The following is a 17,547-nucleotide window of genomic DNA, read 5'->3' on the forward strand; positions in this document are numbered from 1 at the left end:
GAGTGTAGGAAAAAACAGAATGCGTCCAAAATCATTCTATAAGGTTACCATAACCTTGCACCAAAGTTGAATGAGAACCCTCATCCCCTAAAAAGGAAAAAGAACACAATTTTTACTTATTAATATAGACGGAATAAACCTTATATTAACATAAGTAAATTATTGCAATCTAGCAGTGTATTTGTATAAAATAACATACATTAACCAAGTAGAGTTTGTTTTGAGAAATATAAAGTGTTATAAAGGTGGCATTCACATCAGTGAGCGAAGAATGGACTTTTTGAATTGGTGTTGGGACAATTGGGTTCTCATCTTTGTCAGTTCCTTACCTTACCCTGTGCACAAATACAGTTTCCAGATGAAATGGTAATCTAAACAACAGAGCTATACATTACTAGAACATTTAGGGAACTGTATGGTGATTCTGGGGTACGAAGCCTCCCTAGGCAAGATGGGAAATCTAGAAACCATGCAAGATAAGACATGTGTTTGACTACATAAACCTTGAAACTGCTTTAGAGAGAAAAACTCCACAAACAGTAGGCAGTCATTATAAATATTGGGTACTAGGAGGGTACATTTCTCTAAGTGATACTATAGACACACTAAGTGATAAAGGCAACTTATGGAATAATATTTTTGCCCTTAAAAGATAAAATTGATAATCCTCCAGCAAGCTTGATTTAAAAAATTGGGAATGGAGCAGTAGAAAACACAAATAAATAATATCAGCAATAAGGAGGCCCAGAACAGTTTTAGAGATGAAAATAAATATAAGGTGACACTATTTGTAACTTTGTGCCAGAAAATTTGAAAATGTAAATGAGATGGACAATATCCTAGGAAAATATAAATTACTAAAAATGACTGAAGAAGTAGGGATTTAAAAAACATAGGGCAAATAGAACCCCTGTGTGCATATACATGTATCTAGACGAAAATGCTGGTTACCTCTGGGGAACTGATTAGTGGGGGAAGGACACTGCAGGGTAGGGGAGGAGGGGGCACTCACTTTCTATTTTTTTTGGAAAGCATTTTAGTTTTTTTTTTTTTTGTAGAGACTTTTTTTTTTTTTTTTTTTTTTTTTTTTTTTTGGTAAGTCTCACTATGTTGCCTAGGCTGGTTTTGAACTCCTGGCCTCAAGCGGTCCTCCTACCTTGGCCTCCCAAAGCGCTAGGATTACAAGCATGAGCCACTTACTTCCTAAATACAATGCCTTATGCTTTCAATCATATGCAGCAACTATTAACTACTTTGTAAAAAGGAAACGAAGATTGTCCGCGAACGACTCCACAGGAGGCCCTGGGAATAGGTAGCGGGTGGGCTAAAACATTGATTTGGAATGAAATCCAACGGCCGTGGAACCAGCCCTGATCATCAAATTATTCCCAGTTTTGAGGATCGCACTGCACCCTCCTCTCTCCCTCTCTTTCCTACACCTTGGACAGACAGCCTGAGATTCCAGGGCGTGTGTGAAGGAAAGCCGAGGAGGGCAGGGCCGCAGAGAGAACAAAGGGGACACGAGTTCAAATTCCTGCCAGGGTCTGAGACCTGCAACGTCAGACTTTGGGAGCGTCCCCTCACTTCTCCGGACCCCAGGAGTGGCCGCGCCTGCTCCGCGCTCACCCTCGGGGAGTCTAGGAGCCCCCTGCTAAGTTGCTGAGCGAGTCGGAGCCCCAAGAGCTAGGGTCGAGGGGGTGGGGCAGCAGGCGCCTCTGCCGAGGCTGCAGGTAGGCACTTCCCCACCCCCGCGGCCCCCTCCTTCCTCCTTCCTCGCAGCTCGCACACCCACACAACCCTCGCCCGTCGCGGCTGGAGAGCTGCTCTCGGCGCCAGCGGGCAGCAGCGCGTCGTCAGCCAGCACAGCCGGCCGAAGACCAAGCCGGAGGTCTGGGGCTGCGCAGAGACCTGCACACCCGCAGCGCGGAACCGGGGGCGATTCCTATCTTTCTTTCATGCTTCTTTCTTTTTCTTAAAACCAAACCAAACCAAACCAAACCCAAAACTCCCCTGCTCCCACCGCAACTTGGAGGAGCGGTGGACCGATTTGAAGGAACTGACGCAGAGGTTTTATTCACGAACCTTGAAGAAGTTCTGGGCAAGTGACTCAACAGGACCCGCGGGGCCCGGGGTAGCCCCAGCTCCCGGCGCTGGTTCAGTCTGGCAGTGCCCTCTGGCAGCCAACCCGCAGCTGCAGGTAGGGGTGCTGGACGCCCCCTGATTTTGTTTTGGGAATAATAATGACACTACCTATAGCCTGGACCCAGGTGGCCTCGCTCGGCGATTGTCCCCACCAGGTAAGCGCACCCCCAGGGGTCTGCATTGGTCACCCGGGTGGGGACCTCGAGCTCCCGAGAAGTCGGTCCATGCTGTTTAGCCACAGGCAGGAGTGGGGAACTGGTAGGAGACAGCTTGCTTTTATCACAGGAAATTGTGGGAGACGGGAATGGAAGGCGGATTTAACATTTTTTATTTTTGCATTGACGCGTGGGGATGAGATGCGTAGGGGCCTGGATTCTTGTAGGAAATGGTTGCGGAGCGGGGCTGGGTGATAGGTGTCTGGATTTTTGCAGGGACTGAAGGGGAAGAAAGGTCGTCAGTTTTTGCAGAAACCTGTGAGGAACTGGCGGTGAGAGGTTATGATCCTGAAAATGTGCACGAAATTGTAAAAAGTAGGCACCTAAGCATTTCTGAGAAATGATGGGAGAAGCACTTACCGCCCTGGTTTCACCTGACCCCCATGCTCGGCCTTCTGGAAGATGCCCACAGACACTGGCAATAATGGACGCTGGCACACTCTGCCGGCGCGGCCGGAGCCCCGGAGTTCAGCACCTCGGACAGAGCCCGAGCCCCGCCGCCCGAGGCGCACAGTGAGCGTGGAACAGCCCGGCTCCCTAGCCCCCGGCCAACGCTGCTCTCAGTTCAGGGCAGCTACGTAACACCGCCCCTAGCTCCGCGCCAGAAAGGGCTCTCGAATCGCAAAAGCAAACGTGTTCGATTTCTGATCTGCTTCTAACTGCTTCCCGTGACTGCAGAAGGAAGAGGCGGAGTGTAAAGATATCTCCCAAGCTTCCGCGAAAACTACAGGCAAACTGTGTGGCCTCCCCGGATTTCGGAAGGTGTACCCAAACTTCTTTAAAAATCTAGCATTTATTAAGCGCTTACCATGTGCCAAGGCCCCGTGCTAAGCCAGTGCACCACAAATTTGTGTCCTATGAGTATCCCCATTTTACAGATGAGAAAACTGAAGCAAGAGAGGCCGAGTAACTTGTCCAGGTTTATGGAACTAGCAAATGGTATGGCTGCGCTCTTAAACGCTGCCAGATTGCAGTGGTGGGAGGATGTGCTTGAGTGGAATTCCCTGCGTGAAATAGCTCTGAACTTGGGATCAGAGGAACAGAGTTTAAATCAAAGCTGTAGCACTTAAAAACGTGTGCCCTTAGACAAAATTACTAAATGTGTCTGAACTTCAGATTTTAACTATCTGTAAATACTTGATAATGCTTTCCTTGCAAAAGTGTCAGGGGAGGGTGGCCAAGGAGATCATATGTGTGGAAAGACTGGCAAACTGGGAATTGTGGTTGGGTGTTAGGGGCTGAAAGGAAGGAGCAGGTAATTAGAAGAGAAGGAGAATTGGTGGTGAACACTTCCCTCAGCACACTCCAAAGGGACTGGGCACAGAGCGGGGCTCAGTGGGAGGAATTCTGGATGAGCTTAGTTCAGTGTGTAATAGCCTCTTAGATTTTTTAACAGGACTTTATAGAGAGTGTGGACATATTGCCTACCATTTGATCCTTATAACAATGTTGTTAAGTAGGCAGGACTGGGGTTATTCTACTTGTTTGGCAAAATGATGCTTGCCCAAAATTACTCAGGTACTTAGTAGCAGAGCTGGGATTAGAATCCAGATCTCCCGCCTCTCTAGCTTATAATCCTTCCACATGGACTGGCACATCCTCAGGAGCTTGAATTATGGGGCAGTTAAGCACTAAAGTGTATTTAGACAAGTACTATAAATATGTGACATTAATGGTTTTTAAAACCATTTTGAAACAGCAGTTTCATATGGATTAATCTCATAAATGTTTATTGATTATATTCTATTTTGTTCCACAAAGAATTTAAAGCAATTTAGAAGGCTCCACAAGATGTCAGGTTTGCACGTATTCGAAGTAGTCGAGAAAACAGAGGTGAAACAAGATTAAGGCTATAGCCACAGATAAAATGAATACAAAGTATGTATATTATAAAGTCCTAGAAACTTGCTCTGGTCTCTAAGTACTAGAAAGTGTATAACCAAGCACTTTCTTGGAGGTCTAGGAACTTTGAAAATGTTTGCAAAAGTCCGTAGACTCTTCTCTTTTGTATAATTCCATCCCTTGCCCTCTGTGAGATCTTCACTGTGCCAAACAAGGGATGTTTAACTGGAAATCCAATGTCAGTGTGACTTGAAGAAGGGGAAATAAAGTGTATGACATTGTATCTGCACTCAGGTAATTAAGTGTTAGTTACATAATTTATAATGGTTCACATGAGCAAACCATACTTTAAAGTTTATATAAAGGTTTACATCCGTTAGCTTATTTAGGCCTTCTAACAACTCTGAAGAGATAAGCAGCTACAAAATGACAGGAAGGACAAAATCCTAGCATCGCGATTTTATATATTATGTATTTTACTTTCATACACAAACCCGCATCCCTATACAGGCCAGTTAAGTAACCTGAATGTGTGAATCGGGCCAATTGTAAGACTACGGAGAATGACAGGGCCTTTTCAAACTGAAGAGTGAATAATCCATCTTAAAACATTCAAAGAAAATTTAAAGCACAGTGCCAGCCAAGCAAGACATGACTGTGGGCTACATCGGCTGTCAGACCTTTAATATGTAATCTTGGTCTAAACTACTCAGGCCAAGGATCTGAGAAGGCATGGGAGTGAAAGACCCTGGATTCAGAGAGAGAAAAGTTTCAATTCCTGTATTTAAGTTTCCTGTTTCTAAACATGGAAGATTGAACAAGATGGCTCCTCTCAGCTTAAAAAATATAAGACATCTTTACTTTTGGGGACAATAAAATAATCAAAGGACATCAGGACAATAATAGCAAACACTTGCATCTACTTATTGCCTCCATGAAAGAAGGCATCATTTTAATTTTCTGACACTGGTGATATTTTAATCTTCAGTATTTCCTCTCCAGCCCCTGTGCCATTGGAAGATATAGTGGCCACCATTATAGTGGAAATGAGTCCAACAGAAAACAGACCAGAGAGGTGAAAGTGATGGTGGGGGTGGAGTGGGGGTGGGGGGTTGGCGGGTAGAGACAGGGAGTACAGCAAGGGAGGAACCAGGCAAACTTTGCTCTCTTCTCAGTTTACTCTTCTTATGAAACACATGAAAAAAACCCACTTTATGGTTGCTAATTTTTAAAGACAAAAATATTCTGGCCAGAGCAGCCAAAGTGGATGGGATCTCAACATTCTAGGAATGCTTCAGCTTTTTTCAATCCAGATTGTTTCTTTTCTCTCCAACGAGCTTAGAGATCTTGTAAATCATTTAATATTTCCAGTATTAGGTGTTCTTAATATTTATTCACTGTGATGCACAATAGGAGATAAATTTTCAAATGAAGGTAAATTAGATTTTGGTTGACACTTTCATCAAATGGACCACTATTCAGTTCTAACTTTCAAACATCTCTCCAGCTTGAGTCTTTCTCTATCTCCCTGCTGTGCTGTTTCTGATCCTCTTCATCTCTCAGGGGCTCCGAGATGACCCCCAAGCCTCCCAATCCATCTCCCACACTGTGGCCAATGATCATGTCACTCTCTTCCTTAAAATTCTTTACTGGTTCCCTATGTCCACACAGCAAACATCAAACTTCAGGACAAGGCTACAAGGAACTTTGAATCTGATCTCTGTAGACCTCCCCTTATTTGCTTGCTCCGTCAGTGCACTTCCCACCACCACCATGCACTAACCATCAAGTTCTTGAAATGTCCATGTTCTGCTACCTTTTGCCTTTGAACTTGTACTTACTCCTAAGTGTAATGACTTCCTCCTTTTGGTTCAACAACTTTCCACTCATGTTTTTCAAGTACTAGCTCAATTTTATTCTCTTTGTGAGCCCTTTCCTAATCTGCACCCCGAGTCCCTCCTGGCACTCATGTCTCCTTGTTTTATATTTGTCTTCCATTCTGGGACTTATTAATTACTTTGCACTACAGTTATGTCATGTAGAGGCTAAGAATGTGGACTTTGGGGTCAGACTGCCTGGATCTGAATTCCAGCTCCACAGCATATTGCCTGGGTGATTTGAGGTAAGTGACTTTACCTTCCTGAGACTCAGTTTCATTTTTGATAAAATGGGGATAATAATAGTACCCACCTCATAGTATTACTATAAAGATTAAATGACACAATGCATATAAAGTGTTCAGCACATTGCTTGGCACATGGCAAGCATACCATAAATGTTTATTACTATCATTAAAATATACATCCACCTTCTTTCTAAATTGTAAATACTTAGCAGCCATTCCTGAATTTTATACATCTCTTTATCCTTAACACCTAGCCTGGAGTAGATAATCAATATATGTTTGATCATGAATGAATGAGCAAGTAGATAGTTAATATATGTTTGATCATGAATGAATGAGCAAGTAATGCCAGTGTTTAGTCAAGGTTTACTTGCTTATAAGTAACAGAAGTTAATTCAAGCCACCATAAACAAAAACATGCTGACTTATTGGAAGGCTTCTAAGTCGTTCATGGACTCCAAAGTCAGTTGAAACTTCAGAGGAAGGAGGAAAAGTACTCTCTCCCTGCCTCTCATCTCAGCTTCTCAGTGTGTTTACTTCATTCTTCTTCCTCTGCACGTCACCTTTTCTGCTTCTGTGCACTTATGGCTAATCCATGAACGCAGCTCTTACATCCAGAGTTCTCTACAAACAGCCCAGCATAACTGGTGTTTCTCAGCCTCAATTTCAAAATCCACCCAAGGTTGAGTCAGCCCTGCACATGGGGCCGGTCAAATAATATAAACCATCAGCCTCACTCTGTGTGCAGGGGAAGGCAGGAATAATATCAGAAAGAAAGACTCACTGTAGCTTGTGAGAGTCAGAGTCACTCATTGATCCCTAAATGACCATGGGCAAGCCACTTCTTCACTTTTGGCTTCAGTTCCCTCATCTGTGAAATGGTAGAAAAACCTTCCTGAAAGGGCATTTCATGGTTCATGGGAGGCAGTTATCATCAGTCTGGAGCAAAAACATACATATTAACAGTTTGTTGGGCTATAATCCCTGGGGAGTAGGAATGAAGGAAAATGAAAAGTGACGCAAGGGAGGAGGAAGAGCAAATATAGGGGATACGTTATTGAGCTAGCCACAGCTTCATGGCAAATGCACTGATTATTCTGTCATATGGAAATTGTATAATCTATTGCATCTTGGAACAGGAAATTGGGTGAGGAGAGGGAGAAGCATTTATGTAATATCTCTTTCCCATCCTCTATTTTCTATTGGTCAACATCTGTTCTACAAAGGGTTAACTCCCTCATACTTCTTGGTTGAGTAACCTGGAGAAAGTCAGGCCAGGGTCAGTTTCTTCTAGTCAGCAGAAACCAGGTGTGGGGGTTCACCATTTGTAGCAGACAACAGCAGTAGTGACCTGACACTAAGTCTGTGGGAAAGGTTTGAACTTTGTTAAGACCACTCAGGCAAGAAAGCAAGGTGAGTGTGTAACACCCAGAGACAGGGAAAGTAGGCATGGTGGCTATGCATATCTGGGATGGTGCATGAATTTAGTCTGTGGTAATTTGTAAGGCTATTGTCAACTGCGACCATGTAAACAGCAGTCTTTTAAGCCCAGTATTCTTTTTTTTTTTTTTTTTTTTTTTTTGAGTTGGAGTTTTGCTCTTGTTGCCCAGGCTGGAGTACAATGGTACGATCTCGGCTAACTGCAACCTCTGCCTCCTGGGTTCAAGTGATTCTCCTGCCTCAGTCTTCCGAGTAGCTGGGACTGCAAGCGTGTGCCACCACGCCTGGCTAATTTTTGTATTTTTAGTAGAGATGGGGTTTCACCATGTTGGCCAGCTGGTCTCGAACTCCTGACCTCAGGTGATCCACCCGCCTTGGCCTCCCAAAGTGCTGGGATTACAGGCGTGAGCCACCGTGCCTGGACAAGCCCCGTATTCTTAAAATGAAAAGTGTACGATTATTGCAGCATGCTAACAGTTAATGTTAGCCTGGCACATTTTATCTGGGCTACAAGAGTGAGGTAAGCACCTGATTCTGTCCTCAGACAAAACTGTTGCATTTCATCACTTAAGGAACTTCAGATGGGAGGCCCACAGTAAAAAAATGGCTATAGACAACTTGCAAAAGAACTGACCACACAGAATGTTATGCCTATTGGTGGGCTAGATATAAATATTCCAGACCACAGAAAAGAACCTGTATGCCTTATCTGCAACCTGCTGCCTCCTTAGGTGCTGAAGGGGAAGAGTTAAAATGGGGACAAGACCTGAGCATAGGGGAGGAGGAGGCCGCTGATTCCAACTGAAAGGAGAGAAGGATTCTCCTACATACGCCATCTTTCCTCCATTTCTTTCTTCTTTGCCTCCTTTCCTGCCTCTCTTCCTCCCTCTCTTGACTTTGAGCTAGACTAGAGGTACGTGATTTGCACTGCACACAACATAAAAGGTAACCCGATTATCCATCCACCCTCCTTCCCACCTTCTTTTCCTTCTCCTTTTTCTCTTTCCTCCATCTTTTCCTTTATCCTACTTTCTAATTATCACACAGCTGAGAAGGGAGCAAAGACAGTATTTCTAGCTTGAGGGGTGCAGGGCTCTGTGGAGGGGTCTGACCCAGGTGATTAACGAGACTGATACTCAAAGAAAGTTGCAAAGTATTAAGTAACACAGGGGATGTGGCATCTAGTTTTGTATATGTATGTGTGTGTTTTTGTATGTGTGTGTGTGCATGCACGTGTGCAAAAGAAAAAGATAGAGAATATACAAATATGATGTATGGTATTCCAGAGTATGAAGATACTGCATTTTCTTTATCTATTTCCTTCTTCTTCTTCTTTTTCTTTTTTAAGAGACGGAGTCTCACTCTCTCACCCAGGCTGGAGTGCAGTGGTGTGATCATAGCTCACTGCAGCCTTGAACTCCTGGGCTCAAGTGATCCACCTGCCTCAGCCTCCTCAGAAGCTAGGCCTATATGTGCAAGCCATGACACCCAGCTTTTTTTTTTTTTTTTTTTTGGTAGAGGCAGAGTCTCACTATTTTGCCTTGGCTGGTCTCAAACTCCTGGTCTCAAGTGATCCTCCTTGGCTTCCCAAATTGCTGGGATTGCAGTTGTGAGCCATCATGCCCAGCCTATTTTCTTCTTGATGGGTTGTTTCCAGTTTTTGTCTTTAATGAATAGTGCTGCCGATGTCTTTTGGTACACATATTAGTTTATTCTCTAATATTGCTACACTTGGCCCAGGCCCTGGGTGTTTCTTCCACTAGTCTCACCTGGGTTCTCTAATGCAATTGCAATCCTCTAGGGGCTGGCTGGGGCTGGCTGGGGCTGGCTGGGCTGAGATTGTCTCACTCACATTGTTGCAGTTAGTTGGGGCTACCAGCTAAAACTTCATGTGCCCTTCCTGGTAGGTATTCCAGACTTCTTTACACAGCAGCTGGGTTCTAAGACAGCAAACTTGGAAGCTGCAAGAACTACTTAGGCTTTGCCTTGGAAGTCACACAGTTACATTTTATGGCTGAAAGCGAGACACAAGGCTGACTCCTAGTGTACATACGAGGACGGGAGGACCTCAAGGCCATCATTTGCAAACTACCACAGGTATAAACCTAGGCATGGAATTACTGTGTCAGAGTGTGGGCTTTGGTTCAGTCTAGTTCAATTTATTTATACTACCAACAGGTTCCTGTTGCTTCCTGTCTGCACGCCTCTTGGTATTGTCAGTCTGTCTAATTTTAGCCATGCTAAAATGGTATTTTGTTTTGCTTTAATTTGATTTTCCTTGAGTACTAATAAGGCTGGGTATCTTTTTATGTGCTTATTGGTCATTTGTGTATCCTCTTTTGGAGGAAGTGATTTGTAGGAGTTCTTTATATAGTCTGATGATGAGTCACTGTAATTTCACTCAACCCTCCCTCTTTGATCTTGAGTGATTTTCCTCTTGAGTACAAAGGAAGTAACATTTGAACTGAAGTTTGGGGGATGATGAATAATTAAAGAAGAGCAAGGACGCCTTATAGTTAGAAACATGAACAGTGCCAAGAGGAAAAACACATGAAGAATCGTGCATTTGAGAAATGAGATTTGAAGATAGAATGTGAAGAAGACTGGAGTGGCAGGGAATGATTCTAGAGAGGTAGGCTGAGGCCAGGAGAAGAAGGACCCCTTCGATGAAATGGAAAGAAGCATGTTTTCTCCAGACATTCCACTCATTCATCTAGTCTTTGGAAATTCTGCTTCAAATCTCCAGAGTTCAGAGACTGAAAAGCTTATTGATGCATAGGGCTTTAACACAACAATGCTGTGTAGGACCACAGAGGAATAAAAATAATTAAAATTGACAGAAAGAGAGGAGAGAAAGACCATTCACACACACACACACACACACACACACACACACACACACACACAGAGAGAGAGAGAGAGAGAGAGAGAGAGAGATCAGTAGGAGAATTAAGGAGAAAAGAGGAAGGGGATGGAGAGACAGAAACGGAGACTTGTTGTCAATGTATTTAATAAACACACAGTGCCCTTGAATGGTGGTAGTTTTCCTGGAAATCTAGCAGAACACATAAACACAACAACATCAGACTCATGTAGTTATCAGAACAATGCATTTGAGGAAGCAGAAAGATACACACTAGACTCTTAACCATGGTTACTTCTGAAGAGGACAGTGTTTTCAAGGAGGAGTGGGGGATGAATAAAGGAGACCTCTTCCTCTTTATATACTTACATGTAGTTTGGTTTTTGTTTTAAATAACAAGTATCTATTCATGTATTAGTTTTTTCAAAGGGATATATATAGCCATTTCTCAATTTCAACCAAGAAAAGCTTTTGCCTTCCAACTAAATAGAGTAATATAAATAAATAAATAACTGCTCAGGCAAATAGCGTAAGAGAAAGAATGATGTGAATCAGATGAGGAGGAAACTCAGGCATTGTGGCAGGTAGGCCACATGAGCCATCTGCTCATTAGGAACCTGGAGGCACAAAAAGCCTGTGTGAAGGTGCTGTGCTGGCAGAGACATGGCCAATGTGGTACCCGTGGGCTGGCAGGGCATCAAGACTGGGACACCCATCTCTTCTTATTTGTGAAGGGCCTCTCAAGCAACACATACGTTGAAGATTTTGAGTCCGGGAATTAGGGAACTTACAAAAGAATCAAAACAGAAAACTCAGGTTTGACAAATCTCAGCTGAGAAAGCTTTGGTCTGAGCTTTATTTCCTAACATTTGTGAACAAAAATGCAATCCTCTTCTCCATTCTCTGCCTCCTATCAGTTCAACCAGAGGGAAGGGAATAGCATGGCTTTATTCTGAATACGGAGAATATGAATTCTGACATCTGCTGGAAAAGTGAAGACTACAACCTGGAAAGGGATAACTAGATTGATTTGGTTTTACAGTTGTTTTCACTGTCCCTCCCTCATCAACCCCCATTACAATAATCATACATATTTATTTTGGGAAAACTGCAAAAAGAAGAATACGGAACCACTCATAATCCCACTGCCCAGAATAAGGATTGACATTTTGGTGTGTTTCCTAATAGTCTTTTTGATGTGCACCAACAACAACACATTAAACAATTATTTATGAGGCCACCTATTCACTACATGTGAATCATTGCCAAATGCTGAAGATACAGCAGTGAAGAAAATAATCGCAAACCTTTTTCTAAGGAATGTAGAGTTCTACATTTGTGATAAGTGCTGCGCAGTCAACACAATAACATCTTGCATTTAAACAAATATTTACTCTATGTTAGGCTTTATGTTAACTGCTTTTCATGTGGATGTTTTATACACACTCTCTTATGCAGTCTTTACAATGACCCTATGAGGTAGGTTACTACTATCACCCCCCCTGCGTCATGACACACTATTACAGATGCAGAAACTAACTCAGCAATGTTAGATAAGTTGGCCAAGTCAATGTAAGTTGGGATCAGGTTGGGATATGACTGTACCCAGACCCCGTAATAACCATGCTGCACAGATCTGTTATAAAACATATAACATTTGTTCCCTCTTCTTCCTTTGCTAGGTTTGATTGCTACTGTGGCTCAGGTCCTCTAAACTGTAGCCAATATGATGGATGATGACACTGAATTAAGGACTGATGGAAACTCTTTGTTAAAGGCTGTGTGGCTGGGGAGGCTCAGGTTGACCAGGCTGCTCTTGGAAGGGGGAGCTTATATCAATGAAAGCAATGACAAAGGCGAAACAGCTCTCATGGTGGCGTGCATCACCAAACATGTGGACCAGCAAAGCATCAGCAAGTCCAAGATGGTGAAGTACCTGCTGGACAACAGGGCAGACCCCAATATCCAAGATAAGTCTGGCAAGACTGCCCTCATCCATGCCTGTATCAGAAGAGCTGGGGGAGAAGTGGTCTCCTTATTACTGGAGAATGGAGCAGACCCCAGCCTTGAAGATCGCACTGGGGCTTCAGCTCTGGTTTATGCAATAAATGCAGATGACAAGGATGCATTGAAGCATCTCCTTGATGCCTGCAAAGCCAAAGGGAAGGAGGTGATTATTATAACAACAGATAAATCGTCTTCAGGCACCAAAACCACCAAACAGTATCTTAATGTCCCTCCTTCACCCAAAGTAGAAGACAGGCATTCACCTCCACTGTGTGCGTCTCCCTCTGACATAGAGCTGAAGGCTCTAGGCCTGGACTCTCCACTCACTGAGAAGGAAGATGACTTCTTCAGCCTCCAAGCAGGGCATCCAAGCAGTTGTAACACCTCCAAGGCTGTTAATGAGCCTGGGTCACCCACCAGGAAAGTCAGTAATCTCAAAAGGGCCCGTTTGCCTCAACTGAAGAGGCTCCAGTCTGAACCTTGGGGCCTGATAGCGCCCTCGGTGCTGGCAGCCTCGACGCGTCAGGATGAGACCCATGGTGCCAGCACAGACAACGAGGTCATCAAGAGCATCAGTGATATATCCTTCCCTAAAAGGGGGCCCCTCTCCAGAACCAACAGTATCGATAGCAAAGACCCCACCCTCTTTCACACAGTCACAGAGCAGGTTCTGAAGATTCCAGTCTCTTCAGCACCGGCATCCTGGAAAGCAGCCTATGAGAAAGGTCAGGCTCCCCACCCACGTCTGGCCAGGAGAGGAACTCTCCCTGTTGACCAAGAGAAATGTGGTATGGGTCCATCAGGACCCTCTGCTCTCAAAGAGCCTGCATCCCTCAAATGGCTGGAAAATGACCTCTATGACTTAGATATACAGCCAGGGCCTGACCCTCCCAACTCCATTTCCCTTGAATCCGGCAAAGGACCTTTAGATAGAAAGAAGCTCAACAGCTCTCACTTGTCTCTTTTCCATGGCTCTCGGGAGTCCCTGGACACTGTACCTAGCACATCCCCCAGCTCAGCACGCCGCAGGCCGCCACATCTTCTAGAACGACGAGGTTCTGGAACTCTGCTCCTTGATCGCATTTCTCACACTAGGCCTGGCTTCCTGCCGCCTTTAAATGTGAATCTGAACCCGCCTATTCCAGATATTAGATCTAGCAGCAAACCTTCTTGCTCTCTTGCTAGTGGCTTAAAATCTATGGTTCCTGTTGCTCCAAGTTCACCAAAGAGAGTTGACTTAAGAAGTAAAAAGAAGCTCCTCAGAAGGCATTCTATGCAAATTGAACAAATGAAACAGCTGTCTGATTTTGAAGAAATCATGACCTAGAAGCTTTAGAAAGGCTTAAAATAGTCAATATAGTTTATGGAAGGGACTATGGATGAGACTGCTTCCTGATCATTCCTTAATGTTGAACTGTGGCCACTTCAGAAGATATAAAAGCAGGATGCTGCTTCACTTCTGAGAATAATCCCTGGGTTTTTATAGGCCTACTTGAAAAGAGCTCAGGATAATTGGGTTTTGAAGATAAATTTTTAAAAATTCTGCAAAGGAAGAAAGCCTTTGGAATTTGAAGGTAACACAGCAAGTACAATGATGTAAGCTGGGGACATCAGTAGTTTTCTATCAGACAAACAGAAAAGAATTTAAATCAGGAGGTAGTATTTGGAGTATGTCATTTGTAATAAATCTATAAAGTGCCTACATAGAAAACGAGGCTTTAACATTTGTTAGAATGTACAAAAGCCCCAAACCAAACCCTCAGTGACTAAATCTGGGTGTCTGGGTTCTATCTGATGGAGTAGAAGCAGAATTCCCCCCATGGAAGAGGCTCTGGCCTGTGGGTCCTGGCTCTGACTCTGTCAGGGCACTGTAAATCATGGTGTGGTTGAACTCGTTCAGTAATCCAGTAATATATTTTGTTCACATACTAATTTGTATGTGCTCTGAGTACCCAAATATCCCATCTATGTGGCCCCTGAATTATGATATGTCATAGTAGCTGATGCCTTAGAGATAAATCTTGCTCCAGAAATGAAACTTTCCCCAGACCCGTCCCCTGACACAGGCTCTTGTATTGAAATCTTGTGAAAAACAGTCAAGGTTAACTAACTTGGAGTTGAATGTGATACAATTATAGATTAAAAATATCAGAAGCATTTCCAGATTATTCTTAAAAGTTGATGAGATCTTCCCAAACCAGAATGACAACTGAGGATGAGATGTGCATAGATTAAATGGTAAAGTGGGTGGTTCTCAGGTGAGAAGCAGTGAGGACCATTCATTTTGCAGCCTAAAAATTTTAGGGGATGCAAACTGTCATTTCCCCTTCAGTTATGTAAATAATTGAAGAAAAATCTGGTTTCTTCTCTTCCTGATCTATCTAGGTGAGAAGAGATTTGTAGAAATAACCTGCACAACCCTTTTAGGCTGCTTTGAGCAAATCCAAGAAGGAAAGCAGAGACTTAGCACATTTGGTATAATGTAGCCACATCTTAGATGAATATATTTTTGGTTATTTCCATTTATGTTTCCTCTCGTGCTGCTGAGATCTATTTGCTCTATGGTTAAAAAGTTCAATAGTTCCTGAGGACAGCATCATATAGAGGAAAGAGGGCTTTGAGTCTGACATATTTGGGTTTGCATACCAGTCTTATCATTTACCAGCTGCGTGACCTTGAGGAGGCAGCTTAACTTCTCTTAGTCTCTGTTCCCTCATCTGTAAAATAGGATTAGTAGTGCTGCACCTTACAAGGTTGTGATGAGAATTAAATGACACAATGTATGAAAGTGCTGCCATTGTGCCTGGCACAGGTAGAAGTCACTGGATAAGAAGTAGCTAATTTTAATGTATTTCTTGAGACTGCTGAAGCAATATCTCAAATAATACATACGCTACACAAAATGGAATAAAGTTTCTCTGGAAAAGTTCAAGTATCTCTATGAGATCCCCAGTTATTTTTATAAGTACCGATCTCTAAACTCATGTGTAAAGTAAAAAATTCTGCCATATAAACTCTACATATTATATAATTTTTCTATAACTACCTTTGCTAGAAATTTATCTGAATATTCCAAACAAAAGTGTTAATGATGGTTAAACAAAAAAACTCGGTGTTGTTTGGAGGGCTGTCTGTCCTGTGTGTTGTAGGATGTTTAGCAGCATCTCTGGCCTCCACTCACTAGATGGCAGTAACACCCTCTCCCCAGTTGTGACAACCAAAAATGTCTCTAGACGTGGCCAGATGTCTCCTGGGTGCATCACCTTCGTTGATCTCTACTGCTAGACCTATCGTATATGTCAAGAACAACAAAGCTGTATGGAAATGTGAGTGCTGACTGGACAGCTATGCCCTCCTGTTAACTTAAGACAATTCAAATTGTGCTTTAGTAAGAGGACTAATCAATACTAGTGTTGGGCCTTCAGGATTCTTGGCAAACACACTCCAACATGTGTGCTAATGGTCTCATACTTTGTAGGAAGGGAAGAAAATAAGGAAAGCACATAAACTAGCAAAAATCTATAGCTCATGAACTTGGTTTAGTGTGGACAACCCTGTTCTTTTCAGAACTATTTAATCATTAATAGTTCTTACCAAGTAGAAGTGATCCCAGGCAAAGAAACAACTTTCCAATGCATTCAAGAGAGAATCATACGGACAACCATCATTCTCAGCAGCTCATTAAATGCAAATACACACACGCAAAGAGAGAGAGAGAACACATTTTACATAGTTTTCCAGCTGTTGTTAGTGTCACTTAAAACTGATCTCTGCTGGTAGTATTCAGTTGTGAGTATAGCAAGACACTGCATAGGAGCATTTTTTTTCTAAACCTTTAGCTAAGATTTGGAAACCCAATATTTCCTAAGTAGTGAATGTGGTCTATTTATAGTAATTAGCTTAGGTGACACACCAAACATGATGAGTTGCTCATTCAGGATAGCCGGTCCATTGCACAAATGTGTAATATCAGGTACTCTCATGCCACTCATTGCCTGCATCAGTCAGTCATGACCTTTGCATCAGCCTTTCAATAGACAGTCATCAGGCTAGTATCTTATCTCATCACTACTTGACGATGAGTTCGCCGAATTAGACTGTTCTATACCAGTACAACAACCAAAATACTTTCTCATAGATTATGCATAAATACGCAATTTTGTCCATGTCAATGAACCTAACAAGAATGCTTTTTAAAAGTATATTTTAGATTCAAACATGCTTTCTAGATCAGAGGTTAACTTGTCTTTTTGAAATCCTGGAGTCACTTATAAGTTAGCTGCAAACTGTAGTTTCGGTAATTCAACTGCTTAAGCATTTCTGGACTGTTTATCAAAATATATTACAGAATGTGAGACTAAAGTTTAAAGTCTGGACCTTTGGTTTAATTTCTAGACTTTCCAAAGCTTTTTTTTTTCTTTTTAAAAAGCCCATTGTCAACTCTCTTAGAACTTCATCAAGTAAATGGTACCTTGCAAATGTAGGTTGTGTCTGACCTTCTTTCTTTTTGTGTGTTGGTGCCTCAGATGTATCATGTGCTGCTTGAACTGATTCTCTACAGTGTTCCTTCCTAGTCTCAAGCTGATGATGTGCTCAAAGATGTATCAAAATCCATGTAATGACACCTTTTAGATGTTTCTAATATGTCAATAAATGATATATTGCAATCCTTCAGTAGTATTTTCCACTTTTTCTCAGTGAAATCTCAATTATAAGTATTACCTTTTCCTTAAGATGAATTGACGTGACTGCCTAGTAACATCAACCACACACCCAATATTTTAGGAACACATAATTTACAAAATTAGATTTTAATCACACAAGTATTATGGTATCTTTCCTGGTTAAAAAAAGAGCACAGCCCAATGAATGAGAAGGTGCATTGCCACTCTGAGGGGTGAGTTTCTTTACTT

At 42.7% G+C, this 17,547-nt stretch overlaps 1 protein-coding gene and 1 long non-coding RNA gene across 2 annotated transcripts in view, besides 2 other annotated features; one reads left to right on the forward strand and one right to left on the reverse strand.

Moving 5' to 3' along the window:
* The window catches only part of ANKRD34C-AS1 (ANKRD34C antisense RNA 1), a 92,239-nt gene extending 89,225 nt beyond the window's left edge, over positions 1-3,014 (reverse strand). Inside the window, exon 1 of the long non-coding RNA NR_038997.1 lies at positions 2,718-3,014. This is a non-coding gene — a long non-coding RNA (ANKRD34C antisense RNA 1). The remainder of the gene's footprint in view (positions 1-2,717) is intronic.
* Positions 1,726-2,265: an enhancer, noted in NCBI's record as "H3K27ac-H3K4me1 hESC enhancer chr15:79574999-79575538 (GRCh37/hg19 assembly coordinates)". NCBI's record gives its function as "activates a minimal SCP1, AML or CMV promoter by ChIP-STARR-seq in naive H9 embryonic stem cells {active_cell/tissue: H9 hESC(naive)}" and the evidence as "EXISTENCE:reporter gene assay evidence [ECO:0000049][PMID:30033119]".
* Positions 1,791-17,308, forward strand: ANKRD34C (ankyrin repeat domain 34C). The gene is made up of 2 exons (NM_001146341.2): positions 1,791-2,297; positions 12,310-17,308. The coding sequence occupies exon 2, from the start codon at positions 12,354-12,356 to the stop codon at positions 13,959-13,961; it is 1,608 nt and encodes a 535-aa protein (NP_001139813.1). The 5' UTR covers positions 1,791-2,297; positions 12,310-12,353; the 3' UTR covers positions 13,962-17,308.
* Positions 1,917-2,115: a silencer, noted in NCBI's record as "fragment chr15:79575190-79575388 (GRCh37/hg19 assembly coordinates)". NCBI's record gives its function as "represses an EF-1alpha promoter that drives an FKBP-Casp9 reporter gene in an ReSE screen in phorbol 12-myristate 13-acetate-treated (for megakaryocytic differentiation) K562 erythroleukemia cells {active_cell/tissue: K562(+PMA)}" and the evidence as "EXISTENCE:reporter gene assay evidence [ECO:0000049][PMID:32094911]".
* Positions 17,309-17,547: the final 239 nt, after the last annotated feature.

Source organism: Homo sapiens, chromosome 15 (assembly GCF_000001405.40).
Source record: "Homo sapiens chromosome 15, GRCh38.p14 Primary Assembly".
Lineage (NCBI taxonomy): Eukaryota > Metazoa > Chordata > Mammalia > Primates > Hominidae > Homo > Homo sapiens.